General features: G+C 34.7%; 1 long non-coding RNA gene and 1 pseudogene across 1 annotated transcript in view; one reads left to right on the top strand and one right to left on the bottom strand.

Annotated features, from left to right (window-relative positions):
• Positions 1 to 19,442, bottom strand: part of LINC02008 (long intergenic non-protein coding RNA 2008) — a 477,534-nt gene that overhangs the window by 142,034 nt on the left and 316,058 nt on the right. The window lies entirely within an intron of this gene.
• Positions 1,834 to 2,520, top strand: RPL7AP23 (ribosomal protein L7a pseudogene 23; annotated as a pseudogene).

Here is a 19,442-nt window from a genome sequence, read left to right as displayed (position 1 = left end):
TTTGGGGGCCTATTCTCAATAAGAAAAGGGAACATTTATACACTCTTGAGGGGAATGTAAATTAGTTCAGCCACTGTGGAAAACAATTTGGAGATTTCTCAAAGAACTTAAAACAGAAAATATATTTGATTTAGCAATCCCATTACAGGTTATATATCCAAAAGAAAATAAATTATTCTACCAAAGAGACACATGAACTCTTACGTTCATCACAGCTCTATTCATAAAAGCAAAGACGTGCAGTCAACCTCGGTGCCCATCAGTGGCAGATTGGATTTAAAAAGTGTGGTACATATATACCAGGGAATACTATGCAGCCACAAAAAGAATGAAATTTTGTTCTGATATAGCTTGGATATTTGTCCCTGCCCAAATCTCATGTTGAATTGTTATTCAGTGCCTAATGGAATGTATTTCCATCATGGAGGTGAATCCCTCATGGCTTGGTGCTGTCTATATGACAGTGAGTTTTCATGATAACTGGTCATTTAAAAGTATGCGGCACCTTTTCCCTCCTCTCTCTCAGTCCTGCTTTTGCCATGTGATGTGCCTGTACTCCCTTTACCTTTTGCCATTATTGGAAACTTCCTGAGGACTCCCCAGAAGCAGATGCCATATGCTTCCTCTACAGCCTGCAGAATCATGGGTCAATAAAACCTGCTTTCTTATTAATTACCCAGTCTCAGGAATTTCTTCATAGCAGGGCAAGAATAGCCTACTACATGACCTTTGCAGTAACATGGATGCAGCTGGAGGCCATTATCATAAGCAAATTGATGCAGGAACAGAAAAGCAAATATCACGTGTTCTCATTTATAATTGGGAGCTAAACACTGGGTACTCATGGTCATAAAGATGTCAACAATAGACAATGAGGACTTACTATATGGGAGAGGAATCCAGGGGGCCTAGTGTTAGAAAATTAACTATTGAATACTATGCTCAGTACCTGGGTGATGAGACGAATCATATCCCTAATTTCAGCATCATGCACTATACCTAGGTAACAAACCTGTACATGTACCTCCTGAATCTAAAATGAGTATCTGAATCTAAAATTCAGATCTAATTTGAACCTGAATCTAAAATTATTTTTAAAATTTAGAAGACATCTACATAAAGATGGCTTTTAAAGCCATGAAAGTAGACAAGGCAACCGGGGGAAGAGTTTAGAGAATGAAATAAAGAGGGCATGAGGCTAATCCTCAAGAAACAACAATATTTGGATGTTGTTTAGAAAAGAACTCTTTAAAGGAATAATCTGAGTTACTTCCGACAGTGAAATGGAGGGAGTGAGAAAGTATGATGACAGAAAGTCTAAGACAAGGAAGGTTTTTAGTTACTCTCTCCTTCAGCCACCTAAGATGACAAAAGGAAAGAAGGCCAAGGGAAAGAAGGTGGGACTGACCCCTGGTGTCACGAAGAAGCAGGAGGCCAAGAAGGTGGTAAATTCCGTGTTTGAGAAAAGTCTTAAGAATTTTGCCATTGGACAGCACATCCAAACCAAACAAGACCTCACCTACTTTGTCTTTTTTTTCAGACATAGTCTCTCTCTGTCACCCAGGCTGGAGTGCAGTGGTGCTATCTGGGCTCACTTCAACCTCTGCCTCCAAGGTTCAAGCAATTCTTGTGCCTTAGCCTCTCTAGTAGCTGGGAATACAGTTGTGCACCACCACACCTGGCTAATTTTTGTATTTTCAGTAGAGATGTGTTTTTGCCATATTGGCCAGGCTGGTCTTGAACTCTTGGCCTCAAATGATCCACCCACCTCAGCCTCCCAAAGTGCTGGGATTAGAAGTGTGCATCACCGGCATGCACCACCATGCCCAGCCAACCTACTTTGTCAAATGACTCCACTATACATCCAGTTGCAGCAGCAATGATCTATCCTCTGTAAACGTGGGAAAGTGCCTCCTGCAATTAACCTGTTCACCCAGGCCTTCGACCAGCTGTCATTCTGCTGCTTAAGCTGGCCCACAAGTACAGACCAGAAACAAAGTGCTGGAAGAAGCAGAGACTGTTGGCCTGGGCTGAGAAGAAAGTTGCTGGCAAAGAGGATGTCCCCACTAAGAGATCACTTGTCCTTTGAGCAGGGGTTAACTGTCACCACCTTGGTAGAGACCAAGAAGTTTCAGCTTGTGATGATTGCACATGACACAGATCCCATCGAGCCAGTTGTTTTCCTCTCTGCCTTGTGTTGTAAAATGGGGGTCCATTACCAAACTATCACAGGGAAGGCAAGACTGTGACATCTAATGCACAGGAAGACCTGCACCACTGTCATCTTCACATAGGTTAACTGAAAAGAAAAAGGAGCTTTGGCTAAGCTAATGGAAGCTATCAGGACCAATTACAATGACAGATATGATGAAATCTGCCATCACAGCGGAGGCAAGGTCCCGAGCTCTAAATCTGTGGCCCACACTGGTGCTGGAAAAGGCAAGGACTAAAAAAATTTGCCACTACAAACTGGGTTAAATATATACTGTTGAGTTTTCTATACATAAGAATAATAAAAATGCTCCTTTAAAGAAAAGGTTATTTTCTCTTGTCTGACTGCCTGGAGTTAAGACACAGGTTTTTTGTTTTTTATTTTTTATTTTTTGTCTTTTTTTTTTTTCTGCCTTTGGACTTCAAATAAAACATTAACTCTTCTTGGGTCTCAAGACTGCAGGCCTTCAGGAGTCTAGAACTAAACCCTGGGTTCTCCTGGGTCTATAGCTTGCTAACCTCAGATCTTAGGACTTGTCAGCCTCCATAATGTGTAAGCCAATTCCTGATAATAAATCTTTCTCTCTGGGTGTGGATATACGTGTGTGTACATGCACATACACACACACATGCGCGCACACACGCACACACACACACATCTCCTACTGGTTCTGATTCCCTGAAGAACCCTGACTAATATACATGCAAAGACTAAAATGGACAAGTATGAGAGGCACATTTTTAATATATCTTACTCAGACTAAAATGTAATCAGCTTTTCAAGACACAAGAATGAATGATTCCTAACTGTTACTTGTTTCTGACGTTGAGAACTTCAGAGGGCAAGGAAACTAAAGTGGTTACAGTTGCTGACAATGGGCATAATATGGGCAAGGACACCAAAGTAAAGAAATGATTCTCTGACTTCACCATTTTCCTGTGTTGACCTGGATTGTATCAAATATTTCAACTTCTTAACTTTCTTAAATTTCCCTCAAATGGAAATTTATTATTCTTACAATAAATAAATAAATAAATAAATAAACCTTTCTGACACCCACTGCTTCTACTACCTAGATACATAATAAATATTTAAGAAAGATGCTCTAAATGAACAGCCTGCAAAGAGTGTCAACGTGTGACACTTCATCCTTATTAAGATATCTTCCTGAAAGTACACAAAACAAAATAGACCTCAATTTTTATGATGAGGTATTGGAGCATTACATGACATGGAATTTTATGACCAGTGGCAGATGGAGAGAGAACAGAAAGTGATGCATACAAAATTTCAACCATGAAGTAGATTAGTTGAATTATCTGTAGGATTTTGTCTGACTTTAATTTCTGAAAACATATGGGAATGGAAGTGAACAGAAGTGAGGCTGCCATGGTGAGAGATTGAGTCCTGGAAAATACAAATTGGTATAAAGCATTAACAGAAACAAGGGAAGATCTAAAGTACAAATGCAAAGGGAAATCAGAGAGCAAAGATGGAATCAGAAGTAAATGTGCCTGGACAGAGTAAAGAAAGAACCTGAAGATGGGTTTACAAAGTCACAGCTGTGCACACAAAGAAGCTTTTCATTAGGAGCTTGCACTTAAATTTATAGAACACTTTTTAAATAAATCATTTATCATTTGAATTGATAGGGTAGTGTAGAATATAATGTGATCCCATTTTGCTTTGCCAGGTAAACATGAAGAAGTGGGACTACATTTGTTTGTGAGATGTTAAGCTAATTGTCTTAAGTTCTTAGGTTTTTACTAGACCAAACCTCCTATATTAGTTTTCTATGTTGCATAACTAATTTCCTCTAGTAGCAAAAGCTACACACATTTATTTTTTTCACATTTCCTTGTATTAGGAATCCTGGCATGGTATAGTTGGACCTTCTTCTTAGGATTTCACGAGACTAAAATTAAGGCTGGGCAGGCTACATTCTCACCAGGAAGTTGAATGGGGAAAAGAGTAGCTTCATAGTTCCCTCAGGTTGTTGTCAGAGTTCATTTCCTTGCAGCCCACTTCTAGATCCTTTTATAAAGGGCTCACCTTTTGATTAATTTAAATGATCTGCCTCAACTAATATATAATTTAATTAACTTAAAGTCAGCCGACTTAGAACTTCAGTGCATCTGTACAATCCCTTTATCTTTGTGACATTTTATTGGTTACAAGAAATAACCAGTCCTGTTTACACTCAAGGAGAGAGGATTGTACAAGGGAGAGTCACTGGAGGTCATCTTAAAATTGTTCCAACCCACAGCTATCAAGCGGTGAAACGGAATCAACACAAAGGGGTTTCATCTCTGGGTGTTTTATTAAAAATGGTATGACTATGCTGGGTTATAAAGCTAAAAGCAACTGTCAGACATAGTTGAGCTCAGACACAAATTGAAAAAATACTAATCTTCAAAATTTTCAGACTGAAGAGTACAAAGCTTCCTACCTCTAATACCCAAATCATAGAATTCTTCTTTTACTAATTATTTCAATTAAATCTATTTTATTATATTCTGATTTTTGTAGTATCATGATAATTAGTATCTTCTTAAAACCTCTCATTTCCAGCTTCAGATACTTTAAAAATTACTTCCAGTTTTCAAAATGTGTTTAAGTTAGTGGAGTCTTCAGCTGAAGTAAGATGAGTCTAAGAGAGTTTAATATATAAGCTTTTATTACAACAAACACACTTTCTGGGTTTATAAACAATGTATTAAGTTAATATAGTTTCGACTTATATTCTACTCAGGAAATACATACCTCTACTTTACTGCCATATTAGTGAAAATTATTTTCCAATTTCCACATGTTAAATATTGGCTTATATTGTACCAAACACTTTCCTATATTTTCTAATTATTTTTTCTAGTATTTTACAATGGTTTAGTGTGCTAACCTTTTTTTTTTTTAGTTAAAGAATACATTTTCCATGTTGTTATCTAGGTCATGAATGAAAATGTTAAACAGAACTGGGCCAAGTCTCTACAGAGCATTTCTTATTATGTCTTCCATTCTCACCCTGAACTGTTGATAATAATATTGTAGATAAGCCACGTACACACTCCTTCTATAACTAGTTGTGAGTCGAATAGTTCACTTGAATAGTTTGAATTTTCCCAATGTATTGATAAACATGTGAAACAAAATAAAAAATCTTGCTAATATAAAAGTCTGTTGTACCTATTATTGTCCTTGTATTTTCCAAAGCCATTATTTAGGATGACAAGGCTTTTTAATTTTTGAAAAAAAAAATTCTAAGACCTTTTTTTCCAGATTAGAAAATCTTTCTGGATATTTTGTTGTTGTTGTTAATTAAGGCGCAAACACAATACATACATAAATATGTAGTTTTTAATATAAACTTTTCATTGTTTTTTATTTTAACTTTAAAAGACTCTTCAGTTGTCTTGCTTATTCTCAATAAATTACAAGAATCAAAATCTACTAGCTTATTTTTCTCAACATATCATCAGTGCCTGATCAATTTAACACCTTCAACATCTACATATCTGCATACTCTTTTTCTGTAGCATTGTTTTCTCTGTTCCACCTAGTTTTGCACTTCTATAGGTTCCCATTTCAACTGTTTTTAATGGAAGAGGTTAAAATAAGCAACATTAGAAATTTTTGTCCTTTTTAGTGCCATCTGTTATTAGCTCTACTTTTCTTTATCTGTCATTCAAATCTGCCACATGAAAAAAATGTTTAAAAATTTTCTTTATGTCATGTGTAATTGCACCTCATTTTGGTTTGATTTCTTTTTATTTTTTTCTCTCCAAGCACCCAAGAATTATTTCCACTGGTTTTGATAATTTAATTCATACCCTTATATTGCTGTCTCCATGTGTTAAATTCTACTAGATTGTACACTTAACTAAATAGATATCATATCGTTTTGTAGAAAGAATAATTGAGTCCATATAGCTCATGTCTAAGTAATAACAGTTAATTGAACCAAAGAATTTTTCCAACCTTACTGAGAATAAAGGAGAGAAATCTTATTTTGTGAAAAAATGCTTCACAATATGGAAAAGACAAAGAATGATGAAACATTTTGTAACATAGAATGAATTGTGTTTATCCTCAACATAACCTCCCTGAAATTAATTTTAGTATGCAAAATACATATTTGTTGCTGTATAAATGGAGACTTCCATAGATGATATGATGAAAATGCAAGTCTTCTCTCATTTTTCTTAGTTTAGCTAAGAACTTGTCAAGTTTTATGTTTTCAAAAAAACTCAAAATCAGAAAGAGGAGACATTACAACAGATATCTGAGATCATAAGAGATGATTATAAATAATTATATATCAACAAATTAGATAATCTAGTAAAAATAGATACATTTCTAGAAACATATAATGTACCAAACTGGCTCGAGAAGAAATAGAAAGTCTAAACAGATCAAAAAAAAAAAAAAAAGAGAGAGAGATTGAATCAGTAATCAAAAGTCTCAACAAAGAAGAGCCTAGGACCAGATGGCTTTAGCATGAATTCTACTAAACATTCAACAAAAAATTAATACCCTTTTTTCTGAAATCCTTCCAAAAATAGAAGAAGTGGGACCACTTCCATACTCATTGTATGAGGACAGGAAACATCCCTTTAATAACAAAGCCAAAGAAAACACAGGAAAAATAAAAACTACAGACTAATGTCCCTGATTAATACAGATGCAAAACTGATCAATAAAATGCTATAAAACTGAATCCAACAGCACATTAGAAGGATTGTATACCATGACAAAGTAAGATTTATTATTGGATGCAAAAATGGTTAAACATATGCAAATCAACCAATGATATATCACATTAACAGAATGAAAGCTTAAAACCATATCCTCATCTCAATAGAAGCATAAAAAAGCAATGTATAAAATCCAACATCCATTCATGATTAAAAAAACACTCAGCAAAATAGGTATAGAAGAAACTTATCTCAACACAATAAAAGCTGTGTGTTTTTTTTTTTTTTTTGAGACGGAATCTCGCTCTGTCGCCCAGGCTGGAGTGCAGTGGCGGGATCTCGGCTCACTGCAAGCTCCGCCTCCCGGGTTCACGCCATTCTCCTGCCTCAGCCTCCCAAGTAGCTGGGACTACAGGCGCCCGCCACTACGCCCGGCTAATTTTTTGTATTTTTAGTAGAGACGGGGTTTCACCGTTTTAGCCGGGATGGTCTCGATCTCCTGACCTTGTGATCCGCCCGCCTCGGCCTCCCAAAGTGCTGGGATTACAGGCGTGAGCCACCGCGCCCGGCCTAAAAGCTGTATTTTAAAAACCTACAGATAACAGCATAACAGATGGGGAAACTCTGAAAGCTTCTTTTTCTAACGTCCAGCATGTGGCAAGGATACCCACTGTACATCACTTCTATTCAGAGAAATTAGAACAACAAAAAAAATAAAAATTATCCAAATCACAAAGGAAGAAGCAAAATTATCTCTGTTTGTAAATGACATAATCATATATAAAAACATAAAAGACTCACAGAAAAACAAACTGTAGAACTAATGAACAAAATCAGTAAAGTTACAGGATACAAAATTTAGTGGTGTTTCTATACACTAACAAAGAGCTATTCAAAAATAAAATTAAGAAAACAATCCTATCGGCAATAGCAACAACAACAAACAATTCTTAGGAATAAACTTAGCCAAAGAAATGAAAGGCTTGTATATTGAATATTATAAAACATTGATAAAATAAACAAAAGAAGACAAAGACATATGTAAATAGAAATATATGCTGTGTCCATGGATTGGATACATTAATATTGTTAAATGCCCATAATACCAAAAGTGAACAATGCCATCCTTATCCGCCAATGGCATTTTTCACAAAAATAAAAAAAGAACCCCAAAATTCATCTGAAACCATGAAAGACACAAAATAGCCAAAGTGATTTTGAAAGGAACAAAGTTGGAGGCATCACACTTTCTGATTTGAAATTATATTACAAAGATGAAATCATAAAAACAATATGGTACTGCATTAAATTTAAAAGACATATAGACTAATAAAATAGAATAGAGAGCCCAAAGATAAATATAAGCATTTTCATTCAACTCATCTACAACAAAGTTGTCAAGAAAATGCAATGGTGGAAGCACAGCCTCTTCAATAAATAGTTTTGGGAGCTGAATATCCACAATGATATTGTCCTCCTATCTCACATCTTATATAAAAAATTAACTCAAAATGGATTGAAGACATAAATGTAAGATCTGAAACTGTAAAATTTCTGAATAGAAACATAAAAAGGATTGGTCTTGACATTGGTCTGGGCAATGACTGCATATGACACCAAAAGAATAGACATTTTTAGAAAAATAGAAAAGTGGGATTACATCAAACTAAAAAGCTTCTGCACGGCAAAGGAAACAATCAACAGAGTGAAAAGACAACCTATGAAATGGGAATAAAGTTTTGCAAACCATAAATTTGGTAAGTGGATAAAATCCAAAATATACAAGGAACTCAAACATCTCGATAAAAAACACATAACTGGCTTTTAAAATGGGTTAAGAAACTGAATAGACATTTCTTCAAAGAAGTCATATAATGGCCAACAGTATATAAAATGTGCTCAATGTCACTAATCCTCAGAGAAATACAAATTAAAATCACAAGGAGATATCACTTCATACCTGTTAAAATGGTTATTATTAAAAAGACAAAAAAACCAGTGTTCACGAAGATGTGGAGAAAAGGGAATCCTTGTACACTGTTGATGAGAATGTAAATTGGTACAGCCATTTTGGAAAACAGTATGGAGGTTTCTCAAAAAACTTAAAAAACTACCATATACTCCAGCAATCTCGGTTTGGGGTATAGAACCAAAGAAAATGAAATCAGTATCTCAATGAGATATCTGCACTCCCATGTTCATTGAAGCATGATTCACAGTAGCCACGATATGCAAACAATGTAAATGTCTGCCAACACATAAATGAATAAAGAATACATGTTAACTAGTTTGGTTGTGGTGATAATTTCACAATGTACACATGTATCAATGCATCAAGTTGTACACCTTAAATATGACTAGCCTATATTTGTCAATTATATCCCAATAAAACAGAAAAAAAGAAAAAGAAATAAGGAAGAGAAAAATAGATTCCTGATTTCCTATACTAAATATTTTACACCACCACCCACTTTAAGATGACTTGTTGTATACTACACCCAATGAACACTAATATAAGATGTTATGAATATAAAAATACCTTAAAATTTTAAAAGAAAATTATCAGAATAACTAATACTATACTGAATACACCATTATATGCTATATTCTGACTAACAAATGACTCATGATTATTGAATTGATTACACGTAACCAGTAGGTTTGTGCCTGTAGGTGCTGTTGATGGTGTAATCTACTTAATGCATGAAAAACTAAAAAGATTTTTCAAAATTTCTTAGCTACTGCAGCTTTTCAGACAGTAAAATGTCTTCTACTTTCTTATTCATTACAATTGTACTTTTCTGAGTCTGTATAAGTTCATTTTCTATTTTCACATCAATATACTGGAGATAAGCTTATGAATAAGAAACTAAAGACAGAGAATCTGTTCATATTTAGCTATAAGCTAATTTCAGTTTACCACACATTTATCTATTTTCTAAAGAATGACAACTATCTTTTCCTGTTGTATAGTAAATATTTTATAAGGTGATGTTAACTAAAGCATTGTAATAACAATGGGCAATAATAAAACAGAACGATAAAATTTTAAAAAGTTTGATGAAGATATGGAGCAACAAGAACTTTCATATGATAGTGTGGAAATGAAAACTACTAAAATCATTGTGGATACCTGTTTAGTAGTATTCATTAAGCATACAATATTACTCAGTAATTTTACTCCTAGATATATACAAAACAGAAATATAGACATGCATGCATGGAAAGGCTGACTCAATATAGTCAAAGTAGACTTACCCAGAATAGTCAAAGACTAGTCTAAGAAAATGACTAGCAACCGTAGAAAGGCTAAAGCAAATATAATGTGTTGATTCTAGGGGTTTTAAAAGCAATGAAAAAATATTATACACAGTATGTAATAAAAATCTAACAAATATGATATTAAACAAAGAAAGATATATAAGAATATACATGTTATGATTTCAATTATGAAATTTTGAAAGCAGGCATAAGTTATCTTTGCTGTTAAGAGTTAAGAATAGTGGTTTCCTGGCGGGGCGCCGTGGCTCACGCCTGTAATCCCAGCAGTTTGGGAGGCTGAGGTGGGCGGATCACCTGAGGTCAGGATTTGATACCAGCCTGACTCACATGGTGAAATCCCGTTTCTACTAAAAATACAAAAAATTAGCCGGATATGGTGGCGGGTGCCTGTAATCCCAGCTATTAGGGAGGCTGAGGCAGGAGAATCGCTTGAACCCAGGAGGCGGAGGTTGCAGTGAGCTGGGATTGCGCCACTGCACTCCAGCCTGGGCAACAAGAGCGAGACTCCGTCTCAAAAAAAAAAAAAAGGTGGTTTCCTTTGAGGAGGAGAGTGGCCTGCTGTACTGAATTTAAAGCGGCAAGAGGAAAGCTTATTGGTGCTGACTAAGCCTTAACTTGGTTACATGGCCATATATGCTCTGCAGAATTCCATTGAAATGTACTCTCTCATATATATGTTGTTTACGTTAAAATTTTTCCAACTAATTGCTGCTTGTAGGAACATACCTGCCCTTGGTATCCTGACGTTATGTCAAACAGCCTCACATTTATTCATTCTGAGTTTAGTCTACAGATTCTCATAATTATTTTGTGTTTATTTCTTTTAGTTATTTAAACCTTTATTACCACACTTCTGTATAATCTGCTTGACAGAAGAAATACAATAGTGAATAGAAGCTGTAATAACAAAAATCCCTTATGTTATTTCTGATTTTAACAAGAAATGCTTCTATTTTCACCATTATATAGAAAGTTGGCAAAAGGATAATTATTGTTTATAAAGTTTTGTAGGATTTCTTATCCATTTCTCATTTTGTTGAATTTAGTTTGTTAGTACTTTATTTAGGGATTTTACATGTATGTAGGTAAGTGAGTCTTTCCTCTAACGATTGTTCTTTCATGCTCTTAAAAGTTCTATTATTTTGAAATCTTAATTCGTACATTGTCTTTCCCTTTAGGTTTACGTTTGTCTGTTTGCTTGCTTTTTTATTTTATTTTAAATTGACAATTCACAATTACATGCTTTTATGGGGTACAAAATAATGTTATAATTTATTAATACAATGTGAAGTAATCAATTAACATATCCATAACCTCAAATACTTAACTTTTTATGTGGTAAAACCATTTGAAATTTATTCTCTTAGCCATTTTGAAATTTATAGTACACTATTATTAATTGTATCTATGACACTGTGCAATAGATCTCAAAAAAATATTGCTTTTTTTCTGAGTTCTTCTACCTTTTGACCATCATCTGTCATTCCTCTCATCTCCCAGCCTTTGTAATCACACTGCTCTCTGTTTCTGTGAGTTTTGGTTGGTTTTGATTCCACATATTATGTGAGAACCGGTGATAATTGTCTCTCTGTGCCTGGCTTATTTCATTAAATATAATATTCTCCATTTCATCTATGTTGTCACAAATGACAGATAATTTCATTCTTTTTTAATGCTGAATGGTATTTCATTGTAGGTATATGCCACATTTTCTTTATTCATTAATTTGTTAATGGACACTGAGCTTGATTCTATAACTTTGCTATTGTGAATAGTGCTACAGTGAACATGGCTTCAGGTATCTCTTCAACAAGCTTATTTCAAATCTTTTGGGTAAATACTCAGAAGTGCGATAATTGGATCATATGGTGGTTCTCTTTTTAGTTTTTTCAGGAACCTCTACACAGCTTTTCATAACTGCTGTACTAATTTACATTTCCAACAACAGTGGCCAAGGGTTCTGTTTTCTAGACATCCTTACTAACATTTATTTTTTATTTTTTTGATAAAAGCTATTATGACAAGTGTGAGATAACATCTCATTGTGGTTTTAATTTGAATGTACCTAATAATTAGGGTTGTTAAGCATGTTTTCCTACATCTGTTGGTCATCTGTCTGTCTTCTTTTGGGAAAGTCTATTCAGTTTCCTTGCCCATTTTTTAACTTACTTTTTCTTGCTATTCAACTATTTGAATTCCTGATATATTTTGAATATTAATCTGTTATTGAATATATGGCTTGCAAATATTTTGTCCTTATTTGTAGGTTGTCGCTTCACCTTGTTTGTTTAAGTGGAAAAGCTTTTTAGTTTAATGTAATCTTATTTGTCTATTTTTGGTTTTGTTGTGTGCTTTTGGGGACAAAAGGTAGTGTAATGCCTCCAGCTTCTTTATTTTGTTGTTCATGATTGCCTTGGTTACTTGCGTTTTTTTTGGTGTTTGTTTAGTTTGTTTGTTTTTTGTCATGGAGTCTTACTCTGTCACCCAGGCTAGAGTGCAATGGTGCAATCTTGGCTCACTCCAACCTTCGCCTCCCCAAGTTCAAGTTCGCCTCCCCAGTTCCTTACTCAGCCTCCTGAGTAGCTGGGATTACAGGTGCGCACCAACACGCCCAGCTATTTTTTGTATTTTTAGTAGGGACGGGGTTTCACCATGTTGGTCAGGCTGGTCTCGAACTCCTGACTTCTAATCTTCCCACCTTGGCTTCCAGAAGTGCTGGGATTATAGGTGTGAGCCTCCGCACCCAGCCTATTTGCGGTTTGTGGGTGAATCTCATAAAAACAATTCGGAAGAATTTCTGTCTTTTCAAATTCTTTGCCCGTGCCTGTGTCCTAAATGGTATTGCCTAGATTTTCTTCTTGAGTTTTTTTAGTCTTTAATCCATCTTGAGTTTATTCTTGTACAAAGTGTAAGGAAGGAGTCCAGTTTCAATTTTCTGCATATGGCTAGCAAATTCTCCCAGCACCATTTGTTAAATAGGAAAAACTTTCACCATTGCTTGTTTTTGTTAGAGTTGTCAAAGATCACATGGCTGTGGATGTGCAGTTTTATTTCTGAGTTCGCCATTTTATTCCATTGGTCTATGTGCCTTTTTTTGTACTAGTACTGTGCTGTTTTGGCTACTCTAGCCTTGTAGTATAGTTTGAAGTTGGGTAGAACGATTCCTCCAGCTTTGTTCTTTTCGCTTAGAATTGTCCTGGCTCTAAGAGCTCTTTGTCAGTTCCATATGAATTTTAAAATAGTATTTTCTAATTCTGTGAACAATGTCAATGGTAGTTTAATAGCAATAACATTGAATCTATAAATTGCTTTGGGCAGTATGGCCATTTTCATGATATTGATTTTTCCTATCCATGAGCATGAAATGTTTTTCCTTCTGCTTGTGTCCTCTCTGATTTCCTAAGGACAGTGGTTAGTAGTTCTCCTTGAAGGAGAGAAAACTTCCCTTGTCAGCTGTATTTGTAGGTATTTTATTCTCTTTGTGACAATTGTGAATGGGAGTTTATTCATTATTTGGCTCTCTGCTTGTCTGTTGCTGGTGTATAGGAATGAGTGTGATTTCTGCACATTGATTTTGTATCCTGAGACTGCTGAAGTTGCTTATCAGCTTAAGAAGCTGAGTTGATGGGGTTTTCTAGATATATGATCATGTCATCTGCAAAGAAAGACAAGTTGACTTCCTCCCTTTCTATATGAATACCCTTTATTTCTTTCTCTTGCCTGATTGCCCTGACCAGAACTTCCAATACTATGTTGAATAAGAGTGGTGAGAGAGGGCATCCTTGTCTTGTGACAGTTTTCAAAGGGAAATGCTTCCAGCTTTTGCCCATTTAGTATGATATTGGCTGTGGGTTTGTTATAAATGGCTCTTATTATTTTGAGGTATGTTCCTTCAATACCTAGTTTATTGAGAGTTTTTAACTCTTATCTCTTGTGTATCTCATTACTTTGTCTTTGATTTTTTGATGGTTTGAATCACATACAAACAAGTGCCAAAATGATCTTCAGTGAATTTCTCAGCAGAAATCTTGCATGCCAGGAGAGAGTGGGATGATGTATATAAAGTGCTGAAGGAGAACCACTACTAACCAAGAATATGTTACCAAACACAGCTGTCTTTCTGAAATGAGGAAGAAATAAATACTTTGCTTACCGCATAACTTTGTCTTTGATTTTTTGATAGTTTTATTATTATATGTCTTGGTGAGCTCCTGTTTGGAGTGAATTTGTTTGGAGACCTATGCTCTTCCTGTACCTGTATGTTGGCATCTATCCCCATATTAGAAATTTTTTCACCATTATGTCTTTAAATACGCTTTCTTCTTAGTCTTTCGTCTTCTGCAACTTCTATTATGTGAATTTTGATCTCCTAATGTACCATAATTCCCTCAGCTTTCTTCATTCTTTAACATTTTGCCTTTTTGCTCATCTGCCTGGATAATTTCAAATGTTCTGTCTTCTAGCTTACTGATTCTTTCTTCTGCTTGATTAAACCTGCTGTAGAAGCTTTATATTGGACTTTTCAATTTAGTCATAGTATTCTTCATCTCTAAGATTTGTATTTTGATCTTTTTTATTGTTTTTATTTATTTGTCAAAATTATCTTTTTGTGTGTATTGTTTTTTAAATTACATTTAATTTTCTATCCACATATTCTTGTAGTTCACTGAAAATTTTAAAAAGTATTATTCTGAATTCTGTATCAGTCATTTCATAGATCTCCATTTTGTCAGAATCCATGATTGGATCTTTATTGTTGCTTTTGAGATGTCATGATTCCCTCAGTCTTTGTATGTCTTGTGCTATAGTGTTGTTGCCTGCACATTTGAGGAAACAGCTTCCTCTTCTGGCCTTTGCCTGTGGTTCTTTGGCAGTAATAGACCTTCACTATTTAGGTTAGCCTGTGATTCTGGAAGGGCCAGCTGATGGATGACCCCAAGCAGGCAGAGCTTATTGTGGGTTTTCTCATTGCCTGGGCGGCTGCCTTTACTCTAATATTGAGTCAGACTGCTGACTGGGCTACACTATCTAGCAAGACAATTGTCTGAGCTCTGCTATCAGGTGGAGCTGCTGTCTGAGTACTAACATGGTTTCTGTTCAAGCTAGTCATAAGATGTATTCTCTGGCTGGGTGATTTCACTAGTCAGAACCTGCAGTTGTGCAGGACTACAGTATGGGCTCCATAGTTAGGTGGAATGGAGCTTTGGATGGGTGGGATGAGAAGTTATGCTCCCTAGAAATGCAAGATTGAAAATTACTTCCCTTTCAGAGTCCAGATTGTTGACCATTATACAAGGGAAGAAGCTAAGATTTCCTCTCTTCCAGGGTGCAGCTGTGAGGTGGGCTTTTTGCTGAATCGAGCAGCTGTTTGTCCTCAGTCACACAACTCTAGCCACCATGTTTCTTTGAAATGAGCAGAACCAGGTATCTTTCTGCCTGTGTGGGGTCATTGTGGTGGGCTACGAGGCTGGACATGGAGGCTAGCTGCCTAGGGACTCAAACTAGGTTGAACTTCCCACCGTGCTTCTGAAAGTGACTAGGTTGAACTTCCCACCATGCTTCTGAAGGTGACTAGGTCAGCTTTGTGAGTGGGCTACAAAATTAGCTAATATCTCTGATTGGTGCCACAACTAGCAGGAACGTAGAGGCACCACTAAGATCTGTCTACTCATCACTATGACCTCTGCCTACTTTCTTTGTTTTCACTTGACCCTAGGCAATCTAGCAATGCCATTAGACATAGTGTTCCTTGGGAGGTGAGATCAGAGTGGGCTTCCGGGGAAGTGTCTCACGGTGCTAGGAAAGCTGAATGACTGCCTCCAGTTCTTTTTTCTCTCTACAAAAATGGAGGACCAGGGGAAATCCTCTCCATCTGGAATTGTGCAGATATGAGAGAGACAGCGAGGTGTACCATGGTTGTAGAGACACCGTTCTTCTTTCTCTTCTAGTAAGGTTTTAATTCATTTCTGCAGAACACGTGGGTATCTTTGGCTTGTTTCCAATTACTGGGATTTTCAAAAAGATTTTCCCGTCTATAGGTAGTTGCTAGCTAAACATTCTGGGGGGATTGGCAGGGCGGGTAGTGGAGCCTAGATTTTCTATTCTGCCATTTTACTGAATCAGCTCCCTTTTGGGTTTTGTTGCAAGTTTTGTATCAATCATATGCTAGTTTCATGAAATGAACTAGATAGGTTTACCATTTTTTTCAATTATCCAGAAAATATTCTATAACATAGGAAGTATTTCTTCTTGAGCATTTAATAGAACTGGCTTATAAAATAGTCTAGGGCTGATGTATTTGTTTATGAAAAGCATACGTGTGCTTTTTGTAAATGATTTAGATTCTATAATAACTATAGATATATTCAGGTATTCTCTTTGACAATTTTGAAATCTACACATTTGGTTAAAATTGTTCATTACTTCTATATTTTTAAATATATTGAGGTGATATATTTTAGATTATTAGCTTATGAATTTTTAATATTTATCTGAATTTAGCTTGTTTATACCTAATATTACATAAGTATGCCTTCTATTGCATATTTTACACCAATAAGATCACTGTTCTGTCACATACAAAAAAAAAAAACTTTTCCACAAAGTATTAAATCATTTATTTTCTCCTTTTTCAAAAATTATCTTCTTAATTTCTACTTTGATGTTTATTACTTTAATTTCATCTGCTTTCAAGTGTACTCTACCATTTTTTAAACATAATAAGTTTGAATACTACTTATTCACTTTTTAAATTATTTTACTTTGTGTTTTAGAGACAGGGTCTCCTTATGTTATCCAGGTTGGCCTTGAACTTCTGGGGTCAAGGAATCCTTTTTTCTCAGCCTCCTACAGAGCTGGACTATAAGCATATGCCACCATGCCTGACTCACTACTCATTTACTATTGATTCTTATTTTTGCAATATATTTATTAATAGTTACAAATTGTTTAAGACTTTTTCCTTACATACTAGAAATTTTGCTATATAGGGGTTTTTTTTTAGTTTGAAATTGTAATTCCATTATGATCTCTTCTTTAGCCTTTACAATGTTTTCCTACTTTCCAAATACATGTATGAGTATTGAATTTATATATTCAGTTTGAACATTTTGATTCACAGATGCCTCAGCCTGCATGAAATTCATTCTTGTTTTTTTAGTTCAGGATACAGAAAATTGCTTTAATGATATATTCATGCTTAAAAGTACTCATTTTTCAAATTTTGCTTCTGTAAAATCTTGTATTAGAAAGCTTTCTTGACACATAATGTCTGGATTAGTTACTTCTTTTGTGTTCTAGCATACTAACATATATCCCCCCTATTTCAGTGTTTATCATGCTGTGGTATAATTGCCTTGTGTCTCATTTGTTCACCAAATTTTGAGCTCTACATAGTTTGAAACAATATTGGTCTTGTTCACTCTTATATCCCCAGTGTCTAACACTTTCCAAATGTCATCTATAAATATTTGTTGTTTGAATAAATTCAGAACAAATGGTCCATGCTCAATTGAAGGTCTGGAAGGTATCAGACCCATCACTTTTGTGGATGCATTTATAACATAAACGTCACTTGTAACATGGCTTCATGATTTTATAACACAATGTGTATCCCTATTTGCCTATTTCTGTTGTTTTCTAGATAGCACTTAAAAAATATTGCTTCTTCATATTTGTACTTTTCTTACTTTTCCCAGTGCCCGACCCATACTAGGCTTAATAATTGGCTATGGAATAACTGAATTCCTCTCAATTTTGCATTTACAATGTTTCTCATACTATTTCTTTTTATTTCACTTCATTTCTACTATTCTTACCATGATTTAATTACCTATTTGTATTATAGTTACATATTTTCCACATTCTTTCTTTTTAGTGCTTTCTCACCTTCCAATAGCTTCCACATATTGTTATTTAGATGAGAAGATAGCCAAGAATTTTTTCTAAAAATCCAGTTTTATAATACCATAACTCAGCTCAGAAACTATTTTTCTGTCAAGAAAAACTGTAAGCTCCTTAATGTATCTTGACCTTCAAAACACTCTAGTGTCTATAACCCTTGACTGCTATAAGATAAGTGGGTTTTCATTTTATTTATGATTACCCATGCCTGCACCCAGCATTTAACCAAGCATATCACAGTTACTCAGTAAGAACTTAGGAAAGAATATGTTTGTTGATACCTTGCTTCTTAAAATGATTCTATGAAAAAGTATCTGTACACAACTAAAAATGTATCTGTTTTAAAGGCATATATTCAGAAGTAACTTATTGTGCAACATCTATGAAAATGATACACATAATTGAGAAAAACACTTGCTTTTCTTGGTTTAGAAAATAACATGAAGGTAGATAACATTTATCTATTTAATTGTAAATATCAATGGAAAAAACATTTCGAATTTGATTTGAATGATATTTTGAAACAGCTAAATGACTCATTGTCTATTTGAAAGAATACATAGGAAATAATAGAAAATAAATATTTGGCAATGAAAAGTAATCTGACAATCCTTGACCCAGAATGAAGACATCAATGGGTAAGATAATAATGACCAGAAACAGTCAAGCTCCAATTAAGTATTCCAAATGATTTGTGAAGGAGAGAATGTGCATGAAATATTGTACGGTAGTTCACTACCAATTGGGCATAAAGCAAAACAGGCAATAGTGGAGATTATATTGTCACTTCAGAACATACACCAAATAAAGTATTAAAAAAACAAAAGGTTAATAGATGAATTACATGTACCTTTCATCTCGGTAATACAATGAAAGAAAACCCAGATAAAAGTGAGTATTTGTTGCACTCTAGGTAAAGAATTCTTAAACTCAAACGGTATTGAAAAAATTGTAAAGAAATATTATTTCACTATAATATTTTAGGTATAAATATTATTTGACTATAAAAATTTTAACTTTTTTTGTTAAAGTTAAACAGCTCATGTTTGCTACAAAACAATTAAAGAGAAAAGTTTACAATTGTAATATGAATGGCAGTAATATGGATGTATGAGAAAAATATTAATAGGTCAAAATAAATGGTAGAGCTTAGAGCAAAACAGACACTCCTCATAATAAATTCAAATGAAAAACAATTATGAGTGGACTCCAAAGTTTGTGAAAAAATAGAATTAAAAGTAAAAAAAAAAATTGACTTTACATAATCCCCATCAAGTTCAAGAAACTTTTGTAAGCAATGATATCAGATATTTAGTTCATCCCTAAAGATTTGATGGTCCTGGAAATTTAATCAT

The sequence above is a fragment of the Homo sapiens genome, chromosome 3 (assembly GCF_000001405.40).
Source record: "Homo sapiens chromosome 3, GRCh38.p14 Primary Assembly".
In the NCBI taxonomy this organism is placed as follows: Eukaryota; Metazoa; Chordata; class Mammalia; order Primates; family Hominidae; genus Homo; species Homo sapiens.
This window is presented reverse-complemented; position numbering and strand designations above follow the sequence as displayed.